This window comes from Homo sapiens, chromosome 10 (assembly GCF_000001405.40).
Source record: "Homo sapiens chromosome 10, GRCh38.p14 Primary Assembly".
In the NCBI taxonomy this organism is placed as follows: Eukaryota; Metazoa; Chordata; class Mammalia; order Primates; family Hominidae; genus Homo; species Homo sapiens.
The window spans coordinates 97,500,317-97,527,079 of record NC_000010.11 but is presented as its reverse complement, the minus strand read 5'-3'; the positions used below and the strand labels follow the sequence as shown (position 1 = coordinate 97,527,079).

Below are 26,763 nucleotides of genomic sequence, written 5' to 3'. Positions count from 1 at the left end.
CATGCCTCAGCCTCCTGAGTAGCTGGTATTACAGGTGCCTGTCACCACGCCTGGTTAATTTTCATATTTTAGTAGAGACAGGGTTTTCCTATGTTGCCCAGGCTGGTCTTGAACTCTTGAGCTCAGGTAATCCACCCGTCTCAGCCTCCCAAAGTGCTGGGATTACAGGTGTGAGCCACCACGCTCGGCCTAAGAGAGGCATTTCTTTTTTTTTTTTTTTTTTTTGAGACGGAGTCTTGCTCTGTCACCCAGGCTGGAGTGCAGTGGCGTGATCTTGGCTCACTGCAACCTCTGCCTCCCAGGTTCAAGCAAGCAATTCTCCTGCTTCAGCCTCCCAAGTAGCTGGGACTACCGGTGCATGCCACCATGCCCGGCTGACTTTTGTATTTTTAGTAGAGATGGGGTTTCACCATGTTGGCCAGGCTGGTCTTGAATTCCTGACCCCAAATGATATGTAAGGCAGGCATTTTTGATTGTTCACTCTGGAATCCATGTGGAGAGTGGGTTTAAGGAGTCTTGAATGAAGGCAGGAAGATCAGTTAAGAGGCTGCTGCATTAGAAGAGGAGCGAAAAAACAGGGGCCTGGACTCAGATTTTATTGTGTCGATCATGGTAGGCAGAGTTTTAGTGGGATGGAGATGAGAGGATGGATTTGAGAAGTCCTTGAGTCACACATTTAGACTTTCCATTTTTCACGCTAGAATCAAAGTCTTAGTGCATAAAGCTTTGCACACACTTCGGCTTCATTCTCTATGATAAAGTCCTTGTTGTGGAATTTCTAGGTCAAAGAGCAGGGATAGTTTTAAGGTTCTTGTTACCTTTTGCCAAATTGCTTTCCAGAAAGACTATCAATTTTCACTTCCACCAGCAGTGCACAAGAGTGCTTGTTAGACCCTTAGGGATGAAGCCCTGCCAGAGATCGAATCCTCTGCTTCGCCCCAAACACAATGACTGCGAATAGGCTTCCAGACTACACAAATGGCACATCAGTCTGCAGGGTAAGTTGCTTTGGAGCTGACCTAGGGCCAGGGAAGTGGCACTCTCTCCCCACTCTGACCATCTTCCTTGCTGCTGCCAGGAACCTTGTTAATAGTGATTATGTCACTCCCCTGCTCAAAAACTTTCTATGGCTCCCCACTACCTAAAAATAAAAGCCAAACACCTTAGCATGGAAATCAAGTCTTTCCAAAAATATGATCTTCAGTCCACATTACCACATTCCCATAAATTCATTTATTCATTCAACAAATATTTGAGGACCCAGTATTTACCCATACAAAACAAAGTCCTTGCTCTCCCGCAGTTTACATTCTAGCAGGAGAGACAGACAATGCACAAGGCCATCTAGAGTATGTCAGGTATTTATATGTCATCCCCAAGTTAAGCAGAAAAATACAGTGATTAGAATTGAGAATGGGGGACCAGAGAAGGCCTCTAATATGGAGATGGGTGCAGAGGCCAGTGGAGGGAGAAGTGAGCCGCATAGACAGCTGGGACCTGTTCTCTCACTCACTTCCACTAGGCTCAGACCACACCTGAGCCACTAGCCCTCCATGAGCTTCCAAGTCTCCATGCCTTTGCTATTGGTTTTCTCTCCCGAAGATACCCCATCTTTTGAAATAGAAAATGTCGGCGCCCAGCTAGAATGTCACCTCTTCTGTGAAGCCCTCCTAATTCCTCAGCCACACTGCTCTCAGCACTTCATTCCATTTTCCAGTCCACCCAACTGCGAGCATATGGAGGCCCCAGGTGGTCTTTTAGCTCTCTATCTGCGGTGCCCAGCATACAACAAAAGAGATTCTCTGTTTTGGCATTTACAGATTGTCTGGGTTCCACACACACCCTCTCCAGACTACACTGTGAGTTGCTAAAAGGCAGAAATTGCCTTCTTTGGCTTCTGGTCCCCTAAGTTGGTGCAGCATAGTCTGGCACACAGATGTTTCCCAAGGAAGGGGGCACATGTGCAAGTTGCCAAAGAGTGTGGGCACATGACTAGCAGGGAGGCATATTCTTCTCTCAGCACACACAAGTGAAAATACTCTCCATCTTCTGTAGTGAGGCTGTTAGTTACCTACCCAAAGCCACTTTCCCCTTCTTCATGGCCACACAACAGCCCAGGCAGACATTTCTCAGCCTTGCTTGCAGCCAGGGAGGCCATGTGACTATGCTGCACATGGGCCATGGAGGACCAGGGCCTAGGGAAGGTAGGCAGGCCTCCTCCACCCTTTCTTCCCCCTCCACTGGCTGGAGCCCAGACATGGCTGCAACCCAACTTCAACCATGCAAACAACAATGTTCTATGATGTGGCAGCAACTTCAAAAAAACAGGATCCCAGGTGACCACAAGGAGCCGAGCTGCCCCCTCACTTGGTCTGTTCACGTTGAGGACATCAGGGCCATTACATGAGACAGAAAAACAAACTCCTCATTCTTTAAGCCACTGTATCATTAGACCCCTTCAACGCAGCAGGGCAGCTTTCCACAAAGAAATGCACCTGCCTTCATAGGGTGAGCAGAGCATCAATGAGACATAAGTCATCGTAGTCCTCAAAAACCTGTCTTGGTGCCTCCAGGAGGAATGGTGAATCCTGTTCCCAGCCAACCCCTACGATTTGGGAGTATCAGGAAGAGGGGGCTAGAAGAAGGAGGTGTGCCAGTCAGGGTAAAAACTCTATGGGGGACCGGGCTTGGTGGCTCATGCTTGTAATCCCAGCACTTTAGGAGGCTGAGGTGGGTGGACTGCTTGAATCCAAGAGTTCGAGACTAGTCTGGGCAACATAGTGAGACCCCCCCGCATCCCTACAAAAACATACAAAAATTAGCCAGGGATGGTGGCGCATGCCTATGGTCCCAGCTACTCTAGAGGCTAAAGTGGGAGGATCACCTGAGCCTGGGAGGTAGAGGCTGCAGTGAACCATAATCGCGCCACTGCACTCCAGCCTGGGTGACAGAGCGAGGAACCCATAAGGAGCAGGGGCACTGTGATCAGGGTGGGAGGGCAGCCTCGGAGCCCATGGCAGGTTTAAAAGCCAAGTCCTGCTGCTAAAGAAGGGCTGAGGAACACAAAACCAAATGCACACAAACATTCATTCTAGCCCCTCTTACGGGTCTCCCCACACTCATCCTGCTGGCTGTCACGGAGGCAGAACTGCAGAAAACAGTAAATGGGGAAGGGGCATCATCTCACTGGCTCCAGCTGCCACAGAAGCAGCAGGAACAAGGGACGTCGGGTCTTCAGCAGTCTCACGAGGCCACAGAGACCAACAGTCCTGCCTTAATTCTGGGTCTGCTACACCCTGCACCACCTCAACTCTGAACTCTGATGTCCACCAAGTTACACCCAAAGAAGGTACAAAGACAGAGGAAAAATACCGCCCCCATCCCCAGCCCCCAGGTGCCCAAATCATCTTCCCAACTATCCTGGCTCTACCAAGCTCAAGTCCCTGCCTGCCAGCTCTAGCCCACCTTCTACAACCATCGCTTCATGTTGATGCCAGGTGCTGGGCTCAGTGCTAGCAAGGAAACAGTGGAGAAGACAGGCCCTGCAGACAGGCTGCAAAGACCAGGAGGAGTTGGGCTCTGGAGCCAAGCAGAAGAGGATTCTCATTCTGACCCCAACCAGTAACTGGCCCGGTGACCCTAGCAAGCTTTAGTTCTCCAATCTGTAAAATGGAGATGAATGATGCCACACCACCAGGTGCTGGGAGAACACAATAGTCTGTGCCTGGAGCATGGAAGACACTCCGCAAATGCCCATTTCCCTCTATTGCTCCCAGATGGCCACCTTGTTGACCTGCCACAATTCATGAAATTCCCACCTTCAGGGTGAAGACACTGTCTATAAAATGTCCCGGTGGGGTAAGATGTCACTTCCCGCAAAAGATAATTAAGTGTTCTGGGCGGCTGGCAGGCAGCATCCAGAGCATCTGGTTAAGGCTCTGATGTTAATGCTCCCAGGTGCAGGCAGGAGTGGCTCTGAAGTGATATGGGTGCACAGCCCGAAGAGGAAGGCATTATAAAGAAATACGCTGTGTCAAGGACACTAAATCTTAAGGTCTGGAGATCTCCAGGTAGGCAGGGGAAGGAACGCTCAGGGATGCCTCAACAGAAGAGGAAAAGGAGACAGCGGAAAAAGAAAGGAGTCAGGGAGATGAAAGCCTCTAAAGGAGACGCAGGCAGGAGTGGCCAGGGTGGCCCTGGCCCTGCAGCTATGGCCCTCCTCTGTGGCACTCAGCCATCACACCCTGGCTCCCTCCAGACCCCTCTTCCAAGCTGCTTTGTCTTATTCCTGGCACCAAATGGCTCCTACATGTCTATCCCCACCCTCACCTTCACCCACCAGCCAGGTACAATCTAAAGAGAAAGGAAGCTAAAAGCTCTGACTTGCTGTTTAGAGAGGGCTCTCAGAATCTTGCTCATAAAACATGCTGGAGGTCAGAAAGGAGGCAGAATGTGTCTGAGCAGCAAAATGACAAGATCAAGCATCTCTGGGGTTGTGTTTCCTGCCTGGCCACAAATTTGAGATGACCTGGGCAAGTTACACACCCTGTCTCCGATCTTCACCACTCTGTAAGACAAGTCACCCAATTCAAACCCCAAGAGCTATAACAGGAAAACTTTACCTAAAGGAAACAAACTTCTCAGGCAGAACCAGTGAGTGAGAGACACAAAGGAAGCACACTTGGGCTCAGCCAAGTTCACACTGATCGGAGGGAGCTGCTCTCACAAGGCCATGGTGTGGGCAATGAGACAGGGCACAGGCACTCACTCTACAGAGAGACAGGCCAACGCATTCAGTGCGTTCAAAAGCTAGCCTCGCCCAAAGAAAGTCTGGCTGAATGCCTGGCAAGGGTGCTAAGTGGAACGACCCCACATTGCGTGGGCAGCTGGACATGACCTTTCAGGCTTTTCCAGCTCTGGTGCCCTGCCACAACACTCTGGAGTTGAAGAGGTGATCTTGTCTATGTCTTGCAGAGCTCAATTCCAATCACTGTCAGACATGCTCTTGCCACCTTCTGAGGTTTACGGAAGGGCTCCCATCTATAGAAACTTGATGTTGTGGCAGGCACTGTGGGACCACCTCACACCTCTCTGTATCCAAAGCTAACCATATGGCCACAGAAAGTCAGTATGGCAAAGAAAAAGTCAAAGGACAATCAGTCCAATGACGCAAACATCTGTAGTTCCAAGAAGCCCAAGGCCAGCTACTTGACAACAGCAGCACAAAACAGGTGCATGCTATCCCTGAAGCCCATTCTAGTGCCAGCCTCCATGCCAGAGCCTGGCCAGGTGGGTGTGTGACCCACTCCAAAGGGGGCCAGGCACACACTGCTGCCCAGCTGCTGCTGGGGGAAATCTGGACCAAACTCCGTAGCTGGGGCTTCAGGGAGATCAGGGACCCAGAACACAGAGCTCCAGGATCTGGTTAGTCTGGAGGCTGCTGCTCCTGCCTGCCTGAGGGTGGCCCTCCCAGCTTGATTTAGAAAAAGCCTCTACCAGGCTATGGCAGAAGGGCTTAACTTTTGCAGAGCCAGATCCCACTGGAGTCAGAGAGGTCGTGGAAGGCTCTGCAGCGTGTGCCCCAGCTGACGCAAGAATCCCTGGGAGTGACCCTCACCACCCCTGGAGGCTGGGCTCTCAGAGGCAGCCCGTTCCCACGTCAGACCACTCTCCTTTGGGAAAGGAGATCTCCCTCAGGGGGAACAGAAAAGTAACTCCTGGAAACTTCCACTCATGAGTGCCAGGCATCCAAGCACCTAGAAGTGAACTCAAATGCCACTTCCTCAAGCGTGCCCTCCACCAGCCAGGGAGCTGCCCACCCAGCAGAGTCTCACCTTACCAACCATCATTTGCATTGAGTTCATCACCCCTACCTGTGGAATGAAAGGCGGGTCCCAGGTGAGAAGGCAAACAAAACAAAACACTACAGATTAAATAACAAGGTTAGCTCAGAACTCAGCATGAAGTAGGCACTCGTGCTGGGGAGGCGAGATGGGAGCTGGCAGGCCCAGGGCCTCAGTCTGTGGCCCGGCTTCCCCAGCAGATCTCCCTCCTCTCTCCCTCCTGCCCTCCTAGTGGTCCTCTCTCTTTATAGAACATTGTGGAAGAGATATCTGCTATGGGAAGAAGGTCACAGCAGACAGTCACCAACTGCAGCCCATGAAAACCAGACTCTGAGCACTTGCTGGCCAGTTTAGCAGCTCCGGACAGTGTCCTGGACACGGCCTCTCTCTCCTTTCTCCTGGAAAGGGAAAACACCTCCTTACCCCAACAGGGCAGAAACCGGGGTGGCCACTTGCTTATTTCCCTTTCTCTCTCCAGCTGTGCCCCTGCCCAGAGGAGGCATCTTTCTCTAATTCACCCAAAGGTGGTACATGGACCAGCAGGCAGCCCTGGCCAGGGGTGGGGACACATGAGACAAACACGGCTCCCTCAGTCCCAGTCTCCAGGTGTCAGCGTAGGTGTCTCTTTTTCAGGGAAGGCTTCCTGACCCTCCATTCCAAAATAATTCATTTCTCCTACCCCATAATTCTCTCCCAGTACCTTATTCTTACCTTTGTAGTATGTCTTACATTTTGATTACCTGAGTATCATGTGTTTCCCTGTTATTCTGTGGGACCTGGGAGGGAAGGACCGTATCTATTTTGCTCAGCTGCACACCCAGGATCAAGCACGGCACTGGGCATGGAGAAACTCAATGCTCATCTGGGCTTTATGCAGACAGATGCTTCAGATTAGCCTTGAACCAGGACCTCAAGGACCACATAACACTTTCATTTCGACAAAGCCATTGGGTCAGCCACCCAGAGCCCCATGAGGGTTTGATCCAACTGAGACAAAGCAGGTAGGATGGGTAAGAAACAGCATCCACCATCACTGACTACCAGCCAGGTGCCAGGCATTATCCCACATAATCACCACAGTTACATGATAGGGTAGGTACTACCACCATCTATGTAACAGATGAAGGAACTGAGACATTTAGAGGTTAAGGAATACTACCACAAAGCAGTAAAGCTTGGATTTAAGCTCTGCCATGGTCTGAGCCGAACCTGTGCTCTTAACCACTAAGCTACAAGGTCCCAGTTAGTAAACCAGTGGTGTTTAGTGCACTTGCCCCAAGCCCCAAGCCCTTGGGTCTTTTTTGATGCCCCATATAGTATGCACCATCCTCAGAGACCTCCAGTAAACACCTGCAGGGCTGTGGGAGACAGAATGACAGGACACATACAGTCTCTTGTTGGGAGACAGCTTCTTAGCCTCTTAAAGCACATACCCCCTTTTAATCAACATACAGGCTTCCCATATACACCCCCACCTAAAACTGCTATGCCTCACTTGAGAATTCCTGCAATATCAGGCAAGATTTTGTCCAAGTCCACTTTCTTTAATTGTCTACATTTAAAAAACAATATATTTTTCCAAAGCTAAAATGAGATTATGATCCTGAATATGCTTTTCAAATTTCACACTTGCCCCAATCCCCAGAGACTGTGATTCATTCTCCCTCTCTCTCCCCAGTTGACAATCACCACTCACGGACAATAATAGCACACAAAAGGTTTACCACAAAGAGCAGAAATGTTCCCTGTCAATACAGAATGTGTAGAACAGGCATCTTGGGGCATTTCAAGCATGCTCAGGAGAGAAGGGAACATGATTTAAGTGGAAAGATCGTCAGAGAAAAGTCAAGATTAGGCTATTATTTCTTCCTCTGTAGCCCCTTATTTGCAAGGATAATGTCGTGAAGTTCTTAAAGCTTTACGGAAGACTATAAAATGGGATGCTGGTAGGGGGACTCCAAGCAAAGAGAAATACTACAACCTCTACCATCCAAAAGTTCTTTTTGCTGTTTGGGATACAGAGAAAGGAGAACAAAGGATGGCTCTGAGAATGACACTATGAGGTCTCCTTTGAGCACGTTATTATTTGCAACAGGCAACTAGAGAAAACGAAAACTTGAAGTTCAAGTGGGCTCCGGAGATGCCTGGCCCATGGCCGTCTCCTCCTCTAGTGATTAGGAGAGTGCCCTGGGAGTCAGACTGATACAGGTTCTGGTCTGGTTCTGCTACTTACTCATTGATGATGTTGGGCAAATTACACAACCTCTCTGGGCCTCTGTGTTCCCTGCTGTGAGAGGATGATCATACAACTTACTTCATTGAGTTACTACAAAGATTAAATGAGATAATACATGGAAAAGGTTTGGTACTACATCTGGAAAACATTAAGTGAACATGGGAAGTACTTCTAAGTGTTAGCCTTATTGTGCTTATTTCTCTCCTTGTTTCCCGAGAGGAATTCAGGCAGCTGGAAGGGCAGTCTGGCAACCCTCTCATTCTCATTTCCTATTTATTGTCACAAGTGACATAAACTCTCCAGTCAACGACAAGAACAGCTGGGCAGACCAGGGAGATGCACAGCTGCTGCACTTTAGAAAAAATAATGCTCCAAGGGGTCTGAGATTGGAAACGAGCAGGCAGGAGAAGACAAAATCTGGCTTGGGGTGGGAGAGAGCAGGCAGCTCTGCCAGATGCTCCGTGGAGGGAAAATGAACAGAAATAGCCAAACGGGCTGGAGGGCAAGGAAGACACACATAGAAGCCAGGCCTTCCTGGAGAAAGGAAGCTGCAGGTGAGCTGGAGGCAGCCTCGGGCCGGTAGGCATGACTCATACAGGAAAAGTGGGATGTCGGCTGCAGAGGATAGAGGGCCTTGTCCTCGGGGAGGGGCAGCTAGGGAGAAAGAACCAGGCTGCCAGGCAGTCCTGGATGGAGCGAGGTCGGCATCAAACAGGAAGGAAGCCGCAGGTTCTCCCCTGTTGACCTCAGGTCCTCGCCTCAACCCCCATCTGCTTCCCCCAGCTCTGTGGGCCCCAAGATGCACCCAGTATTCCAGTCTCTGCCACCATCTACTGTCCCCATCTGGGTCCTCTTCCCTAGGCCAGCAGCAAAACAGGATGCAGGTTTCAGCATTCCCCACTCTCCTGGCATCTTTGAAACAAGTGCTCCAAGATTTTCTCCCTGGGAAGCAGGCCAAGGAGGCCAACACCATTCTCGGAGCGGCCCCTCCAGTTCCACACTAGGAAGTAAATGGGGTGTGTCTGTCCCCCACTCAACCACGTCCCCTATGGCCTCTTCACTTGCCCAGGAAGGAGAACACAGCCACCTCCCTCCTGCCTCAGCCCTGCTGCTGGTCTCCACACACACACAGCACCACCAGGGATCTCAGAAGCCAGTGTGGGTGAAGGGATCCTAGGCCTATGCAGTTGGTCATTCCTAGACCCTCAGACATGAGGCCTGGGCACCTGCTGTTCTCTACTCACCCCCAGGGACCGGGAACACGGTTGGCAGCAGGGTCACCGGCCTGAGATGCCCAGGAGATGGGTTGTAGTGGAGCCCATGTCCAGTCACATCCCAGGGCCAGAAAAGAAGCCTCCCTGATCCCGCAGAGGGCCACCGGGCAGTGCCATGCCACGAGTGACTGCAGTCACAAGGCTGCCTGCATCCGCACGAGACTTCCCAGTGCACAGAGCCCTGTGACATGCACAACCTCAGCCCTTCCCCACACCTCGGCAAGGGGACTGGGCAGAGACTGTCCCCACGTTGAAGATGAGGGAGCTGAGGCGACTTGGCCACTGTCACAGCTCCTGAGGGGCAGAGCTGGTGGGCCCAGGAGCCATTCTCCAGCAGCTCCTCCTCTACCCAGGGACTTCCCTTCCTGCTGTAAACATCCCCAGATCTCTCCACCCTCAGCCACCACCACCAGGCTCTCCAGTGGCGCTCCACTCCTCTAGCTGCCCATCTCTCTCCTTCCTCAAGCCCCAGTTGTGCCAGGCCCCTCCCCAGAGCCCCTACCACTGGACCCTCACTCTGCTTCAGCCAGACTGTCGCCAAAGTTCGGGACCTCCTTCTTGAAAGCGTCTTCCATACCTCTTGCCCTTCCACTCCTGACCCTCCCTTGCTGCCTGGAGTGCCACCAGGCTCCCAGGTGGTCTCCCTGTCTTCTATCCTGCCCTACTCCTTTCCCAGCTACCCCTGTCATCCTTGGAGTCCAGCAATGCCCTCCCAGGTGCCCTGCCTCTCCCTGGTCACAGGCTCCCTGTGGCTCCTCACACCTCCATGGCCCTGCCCCGCAGTCAGCATCCGAGGTGCCATCAGGCCCCACCTCTTACTGCCCTCCCCTCCCTGCACCCTGGCTTTGGTGCAGGTTGGTCCCCACTCCCCCCAGCTGTCAAGGCGTTGCTCTCCAGTGTCCACAGCATCCCCTGACTGTAGGAGATGCGAGGAGATGGGTTTCTTTTTTTTTTTTGAGACAGAGTCTCACTCTGTTGCCCAGGCTGGAGTGCAGTGGCACGATCTCGGCTGCAACCTCTGCCTCCCGGGTTCAGGCCATTCTCCTGCTTCAGCCTCCCGAGTAGCTGGAACTACAGGCGCCTGCCACCGTGCCCGGCTAATTTTTTATATTTTTAGTAGAGACGGGGTTTCACCACGTTAGCCAGGATGGTCTTGATCTCCTGACCTAGTGATCCACCCGCCTCAGCCTCCCAAAGTGCTGGGATTACAGGCATGAGCCACCGTGCCCGGCCGAGGAGATGGATTTCTAATGTCTGCCCTGCCCAAAGCCCTGAAAGGGGCAGCCTCCCAGTCAACGAGGTCCAGCCCCCTCACTGGCTGCCTGTGACCCAGAGAAGCCATCCACGGTGGCACTGTGTGTTCAACCATGGAACACGCCGACATGTAAGAGGAGAAGCCTGGGTCCTCTGTAAGAGGGAGGCCAGGAGCAGATGCTCAGACAAAAGCAGAGAGGCCACACAGCTCCCCAAAGACAGGGCCACCTCCACTCCTGACTGCCTTCCAGCCTCAGCTCCCAGGAGGCCAGGCTGCCTTGCCAAAATCCTTCCAACAAAGCCCCTTTCCCCTGAGCGAACCTGGAGGGGCTCCTGCTGACACCAGGCTTGGGGAGCCCCTGGCCCCCGCTGGTCTGACAGCCCCAACTGGAAAAGCCATGTATTTGGCAACAGGTGGGCTCTGCCGAGGGTCACTTCTTTCATTGTCTCCTTATGTGGCTATTAAATGTTCCACATAAACCCAGTTTCCTCCCTGGGACCAGAGCTCCTGATCAAAGCCTCGAGGAGCACCCGGCTTTGTGGCTGTCAAAGTTCCCCTGTTTGGAGCTGCCTCCGATCTGCATGGTATCAGGAGTGGCTCCTGCCAGACCTGTTTCATCACGTGTGACCCCATCCCTTGGCTGGAGCTGAGTAGACTGAGGGTAGAGATGTGACCCAGGCTGTGCCAACCAGACTCTCTTTCTCCCATGGGAATATGGACTTTGGACTGGGAGATCTCAGTACATCTGAGTGTGGCTGGAGCTGCAGCAGGAACATTTGGGACCGTGTGGGCTCAGGAGGGGAAAGCCAGGCTGCAGAGAAGTGAAGGAAGCTCAAAGAGAAGCAGAGATGAGAGAGAGGGAGAATCTAACAGGGTTTTTCTAATCCCTGCTTAAGGCCAGGCAGCAACCCTGCCGTGGGGTCCTGAGTCCTCCATGAAGCCCTATCATAAATCACCCTTTTTGCTTAAGCTGGATTCAGTTGGTTTCTGTTACTTGCAATCAAGGAGCTCTAACACAGCTGGGATCTCCCTTGCGCTTCTCTGCTTCTCCAGGAATACAAAGCTGGCGCTCTACAAATACTTGCTGAATGAAGAAAAACTGGCCCCACGTTCTGGCTTTCCTATATCTGCCAAAGGCACCACTGTGCTCGACAAATACTCTCTCTATAAAATGTGTAACTCAGCCACACACAACTTAAATTAAATGCTCTTTCCTTGCCTGAAATGCATTAAATCCTCATTTTCATCTCTTCTTTGGGGCAACTCAGTGCTAAAAAGAAAGGCAGGCAGGAGCAGGCAGAAAAAGAAACAGCCCTTCAACATGCAGGCCAGCAAGTCCAACTGCATCTGCAAACTGTGCTATGGCCTAGCTGCCCCAACTCCAAAAGACTCTGCCCTGAGATCTGTCCCTATGCCACACCCCCAGGCTACCCAAGATGATCATCAATGTCTCCAAAGGTCACAGAGCTTGCAACCCTGCTTATGCGTTATTTATGCCAGATCCTATGCACGAGGCCAGACTCTCTGAAAGAAACCTCAGAGGATCAGCTTGCTCAGTGGTTTTCAAACTGTGTGCCCTCTAGGACCCCAGGACATAAGTGGAACCCTTTGGGGGGCCATTCTCTCCGGCTTCAACCAGTGCAGTACCCAGTTGGTTGTACATATCAAGCTACATTGTAAGCTTACCCCAGAAAGGGTTCAAGTAGCTTTGAAAAACGGTGCAAAATTCCCCTCCCAGACCAACTCCTTCATCACTCAGATGAGGAACCAGAGATTCATGGGCTTACACAGAGAGGGCAATGAAGATAAGACGACCTTGCCCCGGTTCCTCGGGGCTCCTGACCACACTCCCACTGGATGAGTGCTGAATCCGAGGTGACCCTGCCTGCATCAGCGGAAGGGCGATGCTAACCGGCCTGAACAACGTGGAGCTGTCCTGATGCTAGTCCTCCGCTATATATAGTTTCTCCCCTGAAATGACCTCATGCAGCAGCAAAGGTTTGCAGTGTGGCAAAACCGGCTGTGTCCCCAACAACTCTAGGGGAGGAGAAATGCTTAAGAAACTGGGCAGTAAATGGAAAAGAGAGGAATTTGGGGGATGGGGAGGGATGAGGGTGGCAGGTGGGGAACAAGCTTTTGAGACAATTCAGGAGAAATTATTTCTCTGAGCCCCTGGGGCAGCAGTGGAGAATGGTAAACCTGAGACTCTCATGCAGTGGGTAATGAAAGAGTCCCAAGTCTGGGGTGGTAAAGCCAGTGCTTCGTCCCAGGCTCCCATCCTGCCTGCTCACAGATGTTGAGTGTCTCTTCTCAAACAACTACATTCATCTGCACCCCTTGAGCAAGAAGCAACAGAGGCTCCCTTTGACCTAAGCGTCCCCATATACTATTCGATACCTTCCATAATCTTGGTGGACACAACAGATTTGATCTCAATGCCTTTAAAAAAAAAAAAAGAAAGAAAGAAAAGAAAAAGAGGCACCTGTAATCCCAGCACTTTGGGAAGCCAAGGTGGGAGAAGTGCTTGTGGCCAGGAGTTTGAGACCAGCCTGGGCAACACGGCGAGACCCCATCTCTATAAAAAATACAGAAATTAGCTGGGTGTGGTAGCCCGCACCTGTAGTCTTAGGTACTCAGGAGGTGGGATGGGAGGATCACTTGAACGCAGGAGTTCAAGGCTGCAGTGAACTATAATAGCTCCACTGCACTCCAACCTGGGCAACAGAATAAGACCCTATCTCTAAATAAAAAGAAACAGGCAGATAAATACCAAATGAGAATGGAGACTCTGTCTGGGTAAGAGTACAAAGATTTTCTTCTTTGAGCTTTCTCATATCGTTCACATTTTTTACATGAGCACACATAACTTTTACAATAAAGAAGACTGTACTGCTTGCTTCTCTCCAACCTGTACCACTTCCTCAAATCACTAACCCTTCTACAAACTATGCCCACTTACTTCCAATATCTGTCCTATCCCAATCCCCCAAGGAGCAACTTGAGTCCCACCACCTTCAGAAATCTTCCCTCCGTAACTCGAGCTCCCAGGGACCTCTCTCATCCCAACTCTTGTTAAAAGGGTCTACATGTTGCCTTTGTCTCAACTTGTCTACACTGTATGACTTAGCACTTGTCTACATGCTGTCTTGTTTGAAGTGGTATTACACCTTTATTTGTCTTTGCTTCCTCTCCCAAGTAGACCATAAGCCATCTGGATGATGAGATATACATGTATAATATGTGCACACACATTTGCAGGAATGAGGCAGGGTGGAATTTTAGAAAAGGCACAGGAAAGGGAGTCAGATTTCCTGGATCGGATACCAGCACCACCCCTGTGCAGAGCAGACCACAGACAGTGGCTTGACCCCTCTGAACCAGTCCCAAGTTCTTCCAGCTGAATTCCCCAGCAATACCAATTCCCTTCCCCTAAAAGGCAAGGAAGGATTCTGTGCAAGCCTGCCAACCTCACAAGTTTTGAAAAAGAGATCATTTAATCTCTAGAATTGAGGCCCCAGGTGCAGCCTGCAAAAGGGGTCCCCATCCATCCCTACCCAAACTAGCACCAGAGGGTGGGCCAGACACATGAAGGACAGGGCCTTTGGGCGGAAGTCTCTCCTTGCACACTTGCTCTGGGCTATGGCCCCATCACAGACAAATGCCCAAGGAATGGTACTGTCAAAAGCAGCAGGCTGAACACTTCTGTCCAGGGCTGCAGAAAAACTGCTTGGTGCTCAGTGATGGATCAGACATCTAGGCCCTGAATCTTCCATGGGACATGTGTCACAGCAGGACACAGCTAGGCTCAGCTGCAAACAGGAGGGGTTAGCTGCAGATTCAAGGGCCCAATGTAGCTTTGCTTTTGCCTACTGACCCTGAAGACTGGCCCATTCTGTCCTTAGGAAGACATCATAAATAACAGTGCATACAGCATGTGGGTTTCTAAGAAATGTCATTTGGGCCTTATAAAAAGTCATACAAGCAATAAGTTATGGCCAAATAAGGCCTCCTGTCTCCTCAGTAGCCAGACATGGACCAGGCAACAGCAGGACTATCACACTGAGCCAGACCTAAATGAGCTCTTGGCTCTGTGGATCTGATATGAGAGTATAGGGGAGAAGGGCAAAGAGGAAATGGAGGAGTCAGCCTGGGGTGTAAACACACATTACAAAGTGCTGCTGTCCCCCCGGGAACTGCCTCCTCAGCTCCCCTGGACCCTTGGCTCTCTGTGTGTCTCTGTGTGGACTCTTGGATCTGCTGCCTGGGCCAGGGGCCAGGGATGGGGACATGTGGAAATAGATTTGGAAAAAATAAAAACCAACCACAGAAACTCCAGTATTATTCAGTCCGTCACTCTGAACTCCTTGAGGAGATGAACTGACTCTCCATGCTGTGTTCCCCTCCCCAACACAGTAGCTGGGATAAGGCCGATGTAGTAAATATTGAGAGGCAGTTTCCCATACTGGCTAAGGTGTAAGCCTCCAGGATACAACTCCCAGGATTCAAACAGCAGCTCCTCCACTCTCATGAGCAAGTGTCTCAACACTCCCCCCACAGCCTCAGTTTCCTCATCTGTAAAATGGACATAAATTAGGCCTGCCCTTACAGGGTAGATGTGAAAACTGTAAACAGTGATGTCAAGAATCACTGTGGTGTGCCTACCACACACATGGTAGGAGATTAATAAATTATACTGATTTCAGTGATGGCAATTCCTGGAGCTGCTGTGAAGGCTTAGGAAATGAAATGCTCATCCATGTGACAGTCTATTTTGGGGGAACAGAGCGCTTTCACTAAGTTAAAAAAAAAAATCAATGCCATGTGTAGTATCCCATATAACAGAGGACAGTGTGGTCTGTGTCCCAGACACTGCGTGGGAGGTAGGAAGAGGTGGAAGGAGGGACAAATCCATGAAGGTTGTCACAAAGTGCACTTTCTGGCACATTCGGATATATAGTGCAAGAATTGGCAGAAGTAGACTATTTGCTAGTCATGAGTGGCAGTGACATCAGTAAACCAGAGATACCTGTTTAGGGCCCAGGGAGTCCTTTGTTGAAGTTGACAGTCAGGTGGGTATTGCATGGAAGGAACCTGAGACTGATGACCCAAATATTTCATTCTCACTGTGTGTACCCCCACCCCCTCAAGACACACAGTTAACATCACTGAACCTCTCCCCTAAAGGAGAATCTCTACCTCAGTGGACTATCAGGAGGATTAGATGAGATGTGTGTAAGTACCTACTACAGTGCCTACTGCACAATCAGTGTGCAATCAGTAGCAGTATACAAGAAATCGAACAGCAATTTTGAATCTAGGTATGCGGGGATGCTCATCAAGTGCGAAAGAGGCTCTGATGTGGAAGTTTATCAGCAGTGCCTTGGAAGTTCACAGAGGAGGTATCTGCGGCTGACAATGTGTATCAGAGAAATACACAAAGCTCCAGGAAGGAAGCCCTGGGGACTCGGAGGTGTTCTGCCAAGCTGAAGATGGGCCACCACAAACAGAGGGCACTCACAGCCTTGACCTACTGGCAAGAAATGTTTCCATCTATGTGGAGATAGCCTAGAAAAGTAGCCTCTGGTTGTTGCTGAGATCAGCAAGAATTGTATGTAGGGTGTGTTGCAAGTGATTTGCTACTAATGAGAGTTGATTCAAGCTGGATTCAAGGCTATCTCTATGATAATGACACTATCTTGCAACTTGCTTCGGATTTGCCTTCCTGAATAAATGGGTCGAACAGTAGATAACCCAGGACACACTGAAGAAGTCAGGTTTTGCACATGAACTTCACTGGCCGTATATCTCAACGTAGGGGGAACTGTAAGGCTGGGGGCAGCTGGCTATAATATAGCATCAAGCATGGCGAGAATAGTAAAAATAATAACTAATGCTTACTGAGTAGGTAATATGTCCCAGGCACCATTCTCAAGACCTGATGTGCAGTAATTCATCTAATTCTTATGACAGCCCTATGGAGTAGATACTGTTATCTCCATTTCACAGATAAGAAAACTGAGGCCTCAAAATTCAAAATAACTTACCCGAGGTTACATAGCTAATGAGTTGGAGGAGCTGGGATAATAAAATGCAAATTTGTACTAAATGAATAAAACATTTGTCATAATGACCTGTCACCAAAGGAAAACTATCTTATAGATGTTCTCTTTGACAGACCTCAGATTTTACAAATCAAAGGAAATTCATGGCTGGGCAAGGTGGCTCATGCCTGTAATTCCAACACTTTGGGAGGCTGAGGTGGGTGGACCACTTGAGGCCAGGAGTTCGAGATCAGCCTGGCCAACACAGTGAAACCCCATCTCTACTAAAAATACAAAAAAATGAGCTGGGTATGGTGGCACACACCTGTAATCCCAGCTACTCAGGAGGCTGAGGCACAAGAGTCACTTGAACCCAGGAGGCAGAGATTGCAGTGAGCTGAGATTGTGCCATTGCACTCCAGCCTGGGCAATAGAGTGAGCTCTGTCTAAAATAAAGAAAAAGAAAAAAAAAAAGGCCAGGCACAGGCATGGTGGCTCATGCCTGTAATCCCAACACTTTGGGAGGCTGAGGTGGGTGGATCACGAGGTCAGGAGTTCAAGACCAGCATGGCCAACATGGTGAAACCCCGTCTCTCCTAAAAATACAAAAAAATTAGCTGAGTGTGATGGTGTACGCCTATAATCCCAGCTACTCGGGAGGCTGAGGTAGGAGAATCGCTTGAATCCAGGAGGCGGAAGTTGCAGTGAGCCGAGATCATGCCATTGCACTCCAGCCTGAGCAACAGAGCAGGACTCCGTCTCAGGGTGGGGGGAAAAAAAAGGAAATTCATGGCCAGCCCTTGTGATTGCACTCTGACTCCAAGGGATGAGCCAGAGGGTGACCAGAACAGAAGGTGACCAGGGAGGACTAGGGAGGCTATACTATGCTCCCCCTAAAAGTGGGGGTGGAACAAGGGTCAGTACAATATAAGTCATCAGTGGAACAATGAGCTTTGCGTTGTTCCCCATCTAAGCATCCGCTGTGCTGTGTGTGGGCGCCGTGCTGTGTGTGGGCACTGTGCTGATCACATCACACACACATGATCACATTTCACGCTTCACTACTCTAAATGATGTATGCTTACCCCATTTTACAGATGCAGAAACTGAGGCTCTGCAAAGAAAGTAGTGGAACCGCTGCCCTCTCTATGATTTCTGCCACTTATTCAGTCAATAACCTTGAGTATCTTAACATCCTCACCAAGTCTCAGTGTCCTCACCTATAAAACGGGAAAAATGAGTCCTGCCTTGCCTATCTAACAGGATGGCTGTGGAGATCAAATGATATCTAATACTTGAGAAAGCATTTTGAAAACCGCAAAATGCTGAGAGAAGAAAGAGATTGTTAATCTTATTAATTACGAAGAGTGACACCTGATTCTGCAAGCACTTTGCTAACATGACTCTCTGTGCCTCTTTTCCTTTGGGAATTTGGGAATAATTCAAAGTTTGCAGAGCAAGGACAATCTTTTCTTCAAGTCCCTGGCATCTGGGTGTTGGAAAGCGGAGGTTTGCTCTGGGAGAAGGAGGAGGAAACAACAATATTTGCATTCTACTTGTGTTTCTCTTTAGGAACACAATCTTGGCTGAGATTCTATTGCCTCTAGCACACCGAGCCCTCAAACAACATTCAACGCATATTTATTGAGCACCTACTATGTGCCAAGCACTTTGATCCAAGATGATGGACTCACATGGCTTCTAGGTGTGGAGGTGGTGGTCTGGGGGTGGGGAAATTAAAGGAAGAAGGGACAGCAATGTGAAAGGAAAGCAGTGGCTATAGTCCTTGGAGTTTTGCAGACTTCACAGCTGACCTACCAGCTTCTTTCCATGGGGGTGGGGTGGGAGCTGGTCAGGGCTCACAGCACAATGGAACGAGCTGTGAGCACTGGAATGAATCAACATCCTCAGGCTGAGTTCCAGCTCTGTCTCTTAGCATCATAACCACTGGCAATCCATTCATTTTCCTGGCCATCAGCTTTCCCATATGTAAAATAGGTAGGCATGTTCCCATAGGTAAAATAGGGAGAATCAAATGAGATGATGTTTGTGAAGGGATCCAGCAAAGTGGTGCCTGAAGGTGCTCAATAATAAACTCATTAAAAAACAAAACAAAACAAAAAAGCGTTCTCTTCTTCCCATTCTCATGAGGACAAACTACACACTGGCCCAAAGCGTGGGCTCTGAGATCAGACACCTGGGTTCCAGTCCCAGCTCTGCAGTTTACAAGCTGTGTGACCTTAGGCAGCAGACATTACCTTTCTAAGGCTCAGCTTCTTCATCTGTGAAAAGGTGATAACAGAATCCACCCATAGGGTGGTTGTGAGAATTAACCCAAATACTGCACGTGATGCTCCTAGTACATGGCAAACACCCTGCAAAGGTGAGCTGCTGCTAATTACATCTCTCTGAGCCTTTAAAAACAACAAAACTCCAAGTGCGCAGGCTGGAAACTAAGATTCAGGCTACTTGGTTAGTGACTGGCTGCCTAGGCACCATTCACCCTTTGCTCCTTGTCCCAAGACTTCCAGAGGAAAAACATACAAACGAGGAGTCATCCCTGTCCCTTCAGTCTCCCTCCCCACACCTTGCAGAAGGTGTTCCAGCCCCTTTCCTGCCAGGTTCCTCTCTTTTTTTTTTTTTTTTTTTTTTTTTTGAGACGGAGTCTTGCTCTGTCGTTAGGCTTGAGTGCAGTGGTGCAATCTTGGCTCACTGCAACCTCCGCCTCCCAGGTTCAAGCGATTCTCCTGCCTCAGCCTCCTGAGTAGCTGGGATTACAGGCACGTGCCACCATGCCCGGCTAATTTTTTTTGTATTTTTAGTAGAGACGGGGTTTCACCATGTTGATCAGGCTGGTCTCAAACTCCTGACCTCGTGATCTGCCCGGCTCAGCCTCCCAAAGTGCTGGGATTACAGGCATGAGCCACCGTGCCCAGGCCAATTTTTTTTTTTTTTTAATAGAGACGAGGTCTCACTATGTGGCCCGGGTTTTTCTTGAACTCCTGGCCTCAAGCAATCCTCCTGCCTTGGTCTCCCAAAGTGCTGGGATTATAGGTGTAGGCCACCATGCCCAGCCTCTATGCACAATTCTAACACACTCAGATGTCTGTTTTCCCAGAGATTTGGAGGGACTGCTCTTTGAGCCCAGCATAAATGATCACTACATGATAAACCACTTCACACTCATTAGGATGGCTATTATAAAACCAATCCAAACCTAATCAACAAAAAGCAGAAAATAACAACTGTTGGTGAAGATGTAGAGAAACAGGAACTCTTGCACCCTGTTGGTGAGAATATAAAATGGTGCAGCTGCTGAGGAAAGTGTTATGGGGGGTTATTCAAAAAAGTAAAAATAGAATTACCTTTTGATCCAGAAATTCCACCTCTGGGTATATACACAAAATAACTGAAAGCAGAGACTCAGAGAGCATTCACCTTTTGCTCCTGGTTTGCACACCCATGTTCACAGCAGTATTATTTACAATAGCCAAAAGGTGGAAGCAACCCAGGGGTCCATCAATGGAGGAATGAATAAGCAAAATGTGGTATATACATACAATGGAATATTACTCAGCCTTAAAAAGGAAGGACATTCTGACACATGCTACACCATGGAACCTTGACAACATTATGCTAAGTGAAACAAGCCAGCCACAAAAGGAGAAATACTACATGATTCCACTCATATGAGGTATCCAGAGTAGTCAAACTCATAAAAGAGAAAGCAGAATATCAGTTGCCAGTGGTTGGGGGGATGAAGAAATGGATAGTGCTTAATGGGTAAAAGAGTTTCAGTTGGGGAAAATGAAAAAGTTCTGGAGATGGGTACTGGGATGGTTGTACAACAATAAATACAAAGAATGTACTCATGCTACAAAACTATAGACTGAAAAATTTGCTGTTACATACAAGTAAATTTTATGTCATATCTAGGTAACCACTTAAAAAAAAAGAAAAAGGAAAGAAAAAAAAGAGAAGTGACTACTGTCTACCAGGCAGAAGACACAGCAATGATTGTAGGTGGAAACATGAACCCCCAAAGCCCAACAGCTGGGAACCACGTAGTTTGGGGCCCACTGCCCTAGAGTCTCACAAGCCCCGTGGCCTCACACTACTATAAGCACAGTAACTGACCGGGTAGGACTGGCTCTTCCCACTCAGAGCCTTGAACAGGATTTAAGAGCCTTCCTGCAGTGCCAGTGTTGCTACTTGGAACCTTGAGGCAGGGCACTCCCGGAGTGGGCTCTCCCCCAGCAATTTCCCTCTGCCCACCACTAGGTCCCTCCCCCACCCCAGGTCTCTTCTTTGGGAGGTAACACTTTTGAGAGAAAGAACCTTTTGTGGTCCCACTCTCACCAAGCAGGCGCTCTGTACACACCGGTATGAACTCAACAACCCCTAGTCCCAAACCAGAGGTTCTTTCTGAGCTGTATATTAATATTTTGCTCAGAAGCATATCATTCGTTTCAGAAAGATTCCCATCCAAAAATAGTTTTTAAACATTTCTTTTATAGTTTTGCTCCTTAAAAAAGAGTAAGCTTCAATGATCTAGTGGGAAAAATCACTGGCTATGGCTTTTGTGTGTAAAAATCCTGGTAGCTTGGAATAATAGAAACTTTCTAAGATCACAAAATCTCTTTTCATCCAGGGTCTCACTTTAATCTTACAACCTCTCTGAAAGGTGATCAGGGTGGCAGTCACCTCATGGCACAAATGGGGAAACTGAGGCTCAAAGAGATCAAGAGGCTTGTCCAAAGTCACACAAACAACTAGGAAGGAGCAGAGACCCCAGGCTTCATTTTCCACCAATGCCAGATGAAACTCTGTGTTGGGACCTCATATCTGAGCACACTGTGTAGCCATGAAAGTAATTTTTAAACCACCATTAGCTTATTTTATCTCCATAACATCTCTGTGAAGGAAACTGGAAATATTATCTTTTTAAAACGGGGGATCAACTGAGGAAGAAACAAATGACCTGCCCAAGATTACCACTCAAGAAAGTGGCAGAGACTAGACCTCCTCTCCTTTGAATACACTTGACCTCAACCACTTCCCTATAATATCTTGACCTCCACACACTCACAACTTAAAGGAGCACATGCAGTTTTTATGTAGGTTGCACCATGTTTCTGTGAACTAGGCAGGGGACAGACATACCTTTGTTCTCTTTCTAATGGCTGGGTAAGAAAAAAGAGGTTATAGAAATCTTTAGGTTCCTTTTCAGCTCTAAAATTCTATGATTCTAAAAATTCTCCAGCAAGTTGATGGGTAAGAGATGCCTGGAATCCACATCACCTAACTTCCTCCCTTGTAGTCTATTAGGCCACCCTATCCCTGCCCTGCGAGTTAAGGACTACAAACATCACGTGTGCCTGGAAGAGGGGGGTCCACTCTGACATAGGTGCACACATAAAATGGCAAGAAGGTGCTACTGCCTGGTTAGGACCCCAATAGTGAGCTTCACTTTGCCCTCCTGCTTCAGCCCTGGTATCTCCCAGCAAGAGGCACCCAAACCACAGGAGTCATATATATCCCAGGTATCTAAGAACTTACGCAAGCCTGGGGCAAGAGAGAAGCCAGTCCCAGAGATAGAACACCACTCTGAGGTTGCAGTTTAAGTCCCTTCATTAAGATACCTGCCTTAACACCCATCTAAGGTAGGAGATCAATCAGACGTGTTCACTTATGCTTTTCTATAGACTTCACCAACTCTAGTTTTATCCAACAACTATTTACCAGGCACTGCTCTTGGTATCACAGAGTGAACAAATAAAAATCTCTGACAACATGGAGCAAGGGGAGACAACCAATATCAGAGGATGACATAAGCAATGGAACAAAATAAAACAGGAAAGGGAGGTACATAATGCCGAGAGCAGGTGATAGAGGGAAGGGGATAATTTTAAATGAAATGGCCTGGGAGGGTTTGATTCCTTAAATAGGAGACTGGGACAAGGAGAGAGAGGGACCCATTCAGATATCGGGGGGTTGAACAAGGTGATGGAGAGCATGAGATGGCTTAAGAAAGGTGAGCAGGTGAAAATCATATCATATCTTGTAGACCAACACAAGAAGTCTTGAATGAGATGCAGTGTCACAGGAGGCTTGAGCAAAGGAGTAATGAAATCTGACTTACAGTTTAGAGTATCACGCTGGCTAGTGGGATGGAAATAGTCTGTCGGGAGACAAGGGAGGAAGCAGGAAGGTGAGTTCACAGGCCAGTGGTAGCTCAGACCAGGGTGAAAGTGGTGGAGATGGTCAGAGTCAGGTTCGGGACATATTTAAGGCAAAACCAACAGGATTTATTGATTAAATGGATGTGAAGTGTGAGAGAAAGGGAGAAGTCAGGGACGACGAGAATTTTAGGGGCCTTGGCAAGCGGAAGGATGAAATCATCATGAACTGGGATGGGAAAGACTTTGGGAGGTACAGGGATGGGATGGGGGTTCATTCTGTTTTGGACACGTTAAACTAGGAAGCCTTTTAGACAGCAGGTGTGGTGAGCAGGCAGCAGAATATCCAAGGCTGAAGTTGCAGAGAATGGGCTGAAATTATAAATGTGGGAGGAGTCACCAGCATATATAATACTACATAATTCTATGTATGATCATGTGTAATTTGCATGACTATGTGTTTACTGTCTGCCCCCTACAAGACTGTAAGCTCCATGTGGCCAAGGACCACGTCTGTTCACAGCCAGCAGGGTGCTTGGCACTCAGTACATACTTACTGAGCAAATGGAGAAGTTGCCCAATTACTCCCTCAAGAATAGCCACACAGCCCACACAAGAAGCAGACTCTCTTGCAACCACAGTGCCAAGCCCAACCAGCCCCAAACAGGGCCCTGGGTCTGTCCACCCCGAGCTTGAGATTCCAGAACGTAAGTGGATATGCCTGGCACATCACAGAGTCAGATATTTGGGTTTCAGCCCTGCCACATTCTCAAAGGGTGGAGCTGGGCAAGAGACTTGCCTGTTCTACCACCTCTACCTCTCCCTGGAGTGGCTGGGGGAGAGGCTGCTTCACCCAGTTCATGGGCAGAGATATTTATCTACCTAGTGTACATGTATGGGGTGGCAAGAGCCCCCACCAAAGGAGTAAATCCCCAAGTATTCTCCGAAGCATACAAGAACCACCCAGCATCTGAAGGAGAAGAACACAGACCTACTGGGGATGCATTAAGAGTAACAATCCAAAAAAAATTTTTAAGGCTGGGTGTGGCGGCTCACGCCAGTAATCCCAGCACTTTCGGAAGCCAAGATAAGAAGATTACTTGAGGCCAGGAGTTTCAGACCAGCCTGGGCAACATAGCAAGACCCCATCTCTACAAAAAATAAAAAGTTAGCTGGGCGTGGTGGTGCACACCTCTAGCCCTAGCTACTGGGAAGACTGAGGGGAGAGGATCACTTGAGCTCAGGAGTTAAAGGCTGCAGGGAGCTATAACTGCACCACCATACTCCAGCCTGAGCGAGAGAACAAGACCCTCTCTCTCAAAAAAAAAAAAATATATATATACATATATACACACATATATATACGTATATATATACATATATACGTATATATACGTATATATGTATACACACATACGCACACACACACATATGAGTGACAATCACAAAACTTGATGAGACGAGAGGACCTCTCCCTTCTCCCTAATGCAAGAATCCCTGACCAGACAGTATTGTGTCTCTGCTTTGTCTACCAAGTGACTAAGAAGGCAGAACTAAGGACAAAGGGTGACATTACAAGCCATAAAGATTTCACCTCAATAACTTTCTCGCTTTAAACAGCTGCCTTTGTGAAGATGATAAAACAGCTCTAATGATCTTGTATAACCCTCCCCCTTTCTGAAATATTGAAAGTGTGACCCAGAAAGGTTAGATGACTTGCCCAGGGTCACTGAGTTATAGGCCCAGGACTAGAACTCAGGTCCTAGCTCCCTGTTGAGGCTTTCTTCCCATTACATTAGTGCCAAAGGAAGGTAAGAGTTACAGTGGCGCTGGGGGAGTTTTAGGCATTAGTCTTACAACGTAAAACTATGTCCTTGTCAAAGGAAAAGCCACAGATGTTACAGGAATGCCAGGTGCACTGTGGAGTTAAGAAGGATTCCTTCCCTTGTACCAAATTTGTCATCCTACAGAGTTCCCCTCGGCTTTGGACTTTATGAATAAAGCTATTCATAGTAGGACCCACAGAACTAAAGCAATGATAAACTAGCAGGTAAAAAAAAAAATGCAGATATATGAAAAATGCAGATGGTAGGATGAAGTTGAGTTTGCTTTCTAAAATCAACAAATACTGAGTGCTACTTCTGTACAACTCATTGTGTTAAGTGCTGAATGTGTGTGTGTGCGTGAGAGAGACATATACTACAAGGATAAGACAGAACCCAGGTCTTCAAGGCTTGCAATGTAGTTGCTGATAAAAGACTGTAAACATCAAAGACATGATTAATAATACAGAGTACATAATTGTTAAGTAAGTGGCATAGATAATGTGTCTGCAGGAGTTCTCAGAAGGAGCAATCACTTCCACGGGGTGTGTGTGGTGGGGTGCGGAGGGAGGGGGAAATGGCAGACTTGTCAGGCAAGGTGCTTCAAACAAGGCACGGCACTTGAAATGAACCCAAAGGATGAAAGACTCTCGATAAGAAGGAAATGGCACGAGCAAACACTGGTGGTCTTAATGTCAGAGAAGGGAAAGAAATCAGGACTTAAAAGAAAGGACTGGCCCACACTTGAACAGCCTTGAAAGTTAAAGTACTTGTAGGAGTGGGAAAATGCAGAAAGGTGTTTTGTTGTTGTTGTTGCTGTTGTTTTGTTTTTTTTTGAGACAGAGTCTCGCTCTGTCACCCAGGCTGGAGTGCAGTGGCGCAATCTCAGCTCACTACAACCTCTGCGAAACTTCCAGTTCAAGCAATCTCCCTGCCTCAGCCTCCTGAGTAGCTGGGATTACAGGCGCCTGCCACCACCATGCCTGGCTAAGTTTTGTATTTTTAGTAGAGACAGGGTTTTGCCATGTTGGCCAGGCTGGTCTCGAACTCCTGATCTCAGGTGATCCACCTGCCTTGGCCTCCCAAAGTGCTGGGATTACAGGCATGAGCCACCACGCCTGGCCAAGTACAGAAACATTCTGAACACAGAACTATAAAATCTGGAAGAAGTTAATTTAACAAATGTCTTCTGTGGGGACAACTGTGTGTAGGACTGAATGATGACTGAAGATGAAGTTGCCTTTGGGGGGTACCTCACTTCAGCCTGAGACAAGGGTTGACTTGAGGTGAGAAGGGTACAAAGTAGGGTGGCAAGGGGCAGGTTTGCAAGTCCCGCGGAAGGAAGACCCAGCAGACCCCAATGACTGGCTGAGAGGCAGGCGACAAGGAAGCAGAGAAAGTCATGAGAGAAAGAGCTCTTCACAGCCTAAAGTTAGGCAGCTGGAAGAACATAAGAGTAAAGAAGGAAAGCTGGTGGACAGGGAGCGATGCAGAGCCTGGTTTTGGAGGTGTTAAATCTGGGAATATCTATATCACAGTGTCCAGTGGGCATCTAGAGATGGGGTTCTGGGGTTCAAGAGAGAAGAGCTGAAGTTTAAGCATAGGGGTATTCCCAATGGACAAAGAGTTGTGGGACTGAACAAGATTTCTCTGGGAGAGAGTGTAATGAGAGAAAAAACAGAATGTCAAACTTAAGCACCAGCGTGCCCCCAAGCTAGAAGGTGATGGTGGAAAGGGGTGTTCAGAAAGGAAAACCAAGACAGTCTGATGCCAAGAAAGGAAGGGGGGGAATGTCTCGTAGGAGAGAGTTGTCAACAGCAAAAAATGCTGCAAAATCAATTATGGGGCCTGAACACATATTTGTTGAACAAATGAATGAATGAAAGCAAGCCAGCCCTTGGTTTTGAGAGTCATCTCTCCTCAGCCAGAAGAATGGCCAGAGTTACCTTCAGACAAGAGAATTTCAATAAGTTTTACTGCATCCTTCCCATAAAAACACATTTCTGCCTCCACAAGTCATCCTGTCCACCATGCAGACATCCTTCCCTGCTTCCCCTGGTTCCCCCATCTTCCTTCCCAGTTTCCGCAACCCAAGCAACACACCTTCGGTGT

General features: G+C 48.6%; 1 protein-coding gene across 1 annotated transcript in view, besides 1 other annotated feature; it reads right to left on the bottom strand.

Moving 5' to 3' along the window:
- UBTD1 (ubiquitin domain containing 1) overlaps positions 1 to 26,763 on the bottom strand; it is a 72,283-nt gene that overhangs the window by 44,127 nt on the left and 1,393 nt on the right. The window lies entirely within an intron of this gene.
- Positions 8,959 to 9,787: an enhancer, noted in NCBI's record as "H3K27ac-H3K4me1 hESC enhancer chr10:99277050-99277878 (GRCh37/hg19 assembly coordinates)". NCBI's record gives its function as "activates a minimal SCP1, AML or CMV promoter by ChIP-STARR-seq in primed H9 embryonic stem cells {active_cell/tissue: H9 hESC(primed)}" and the evidence as "EXISTENCE:reporter gene assay evidence [ECO:0000049][PMID:30033119]".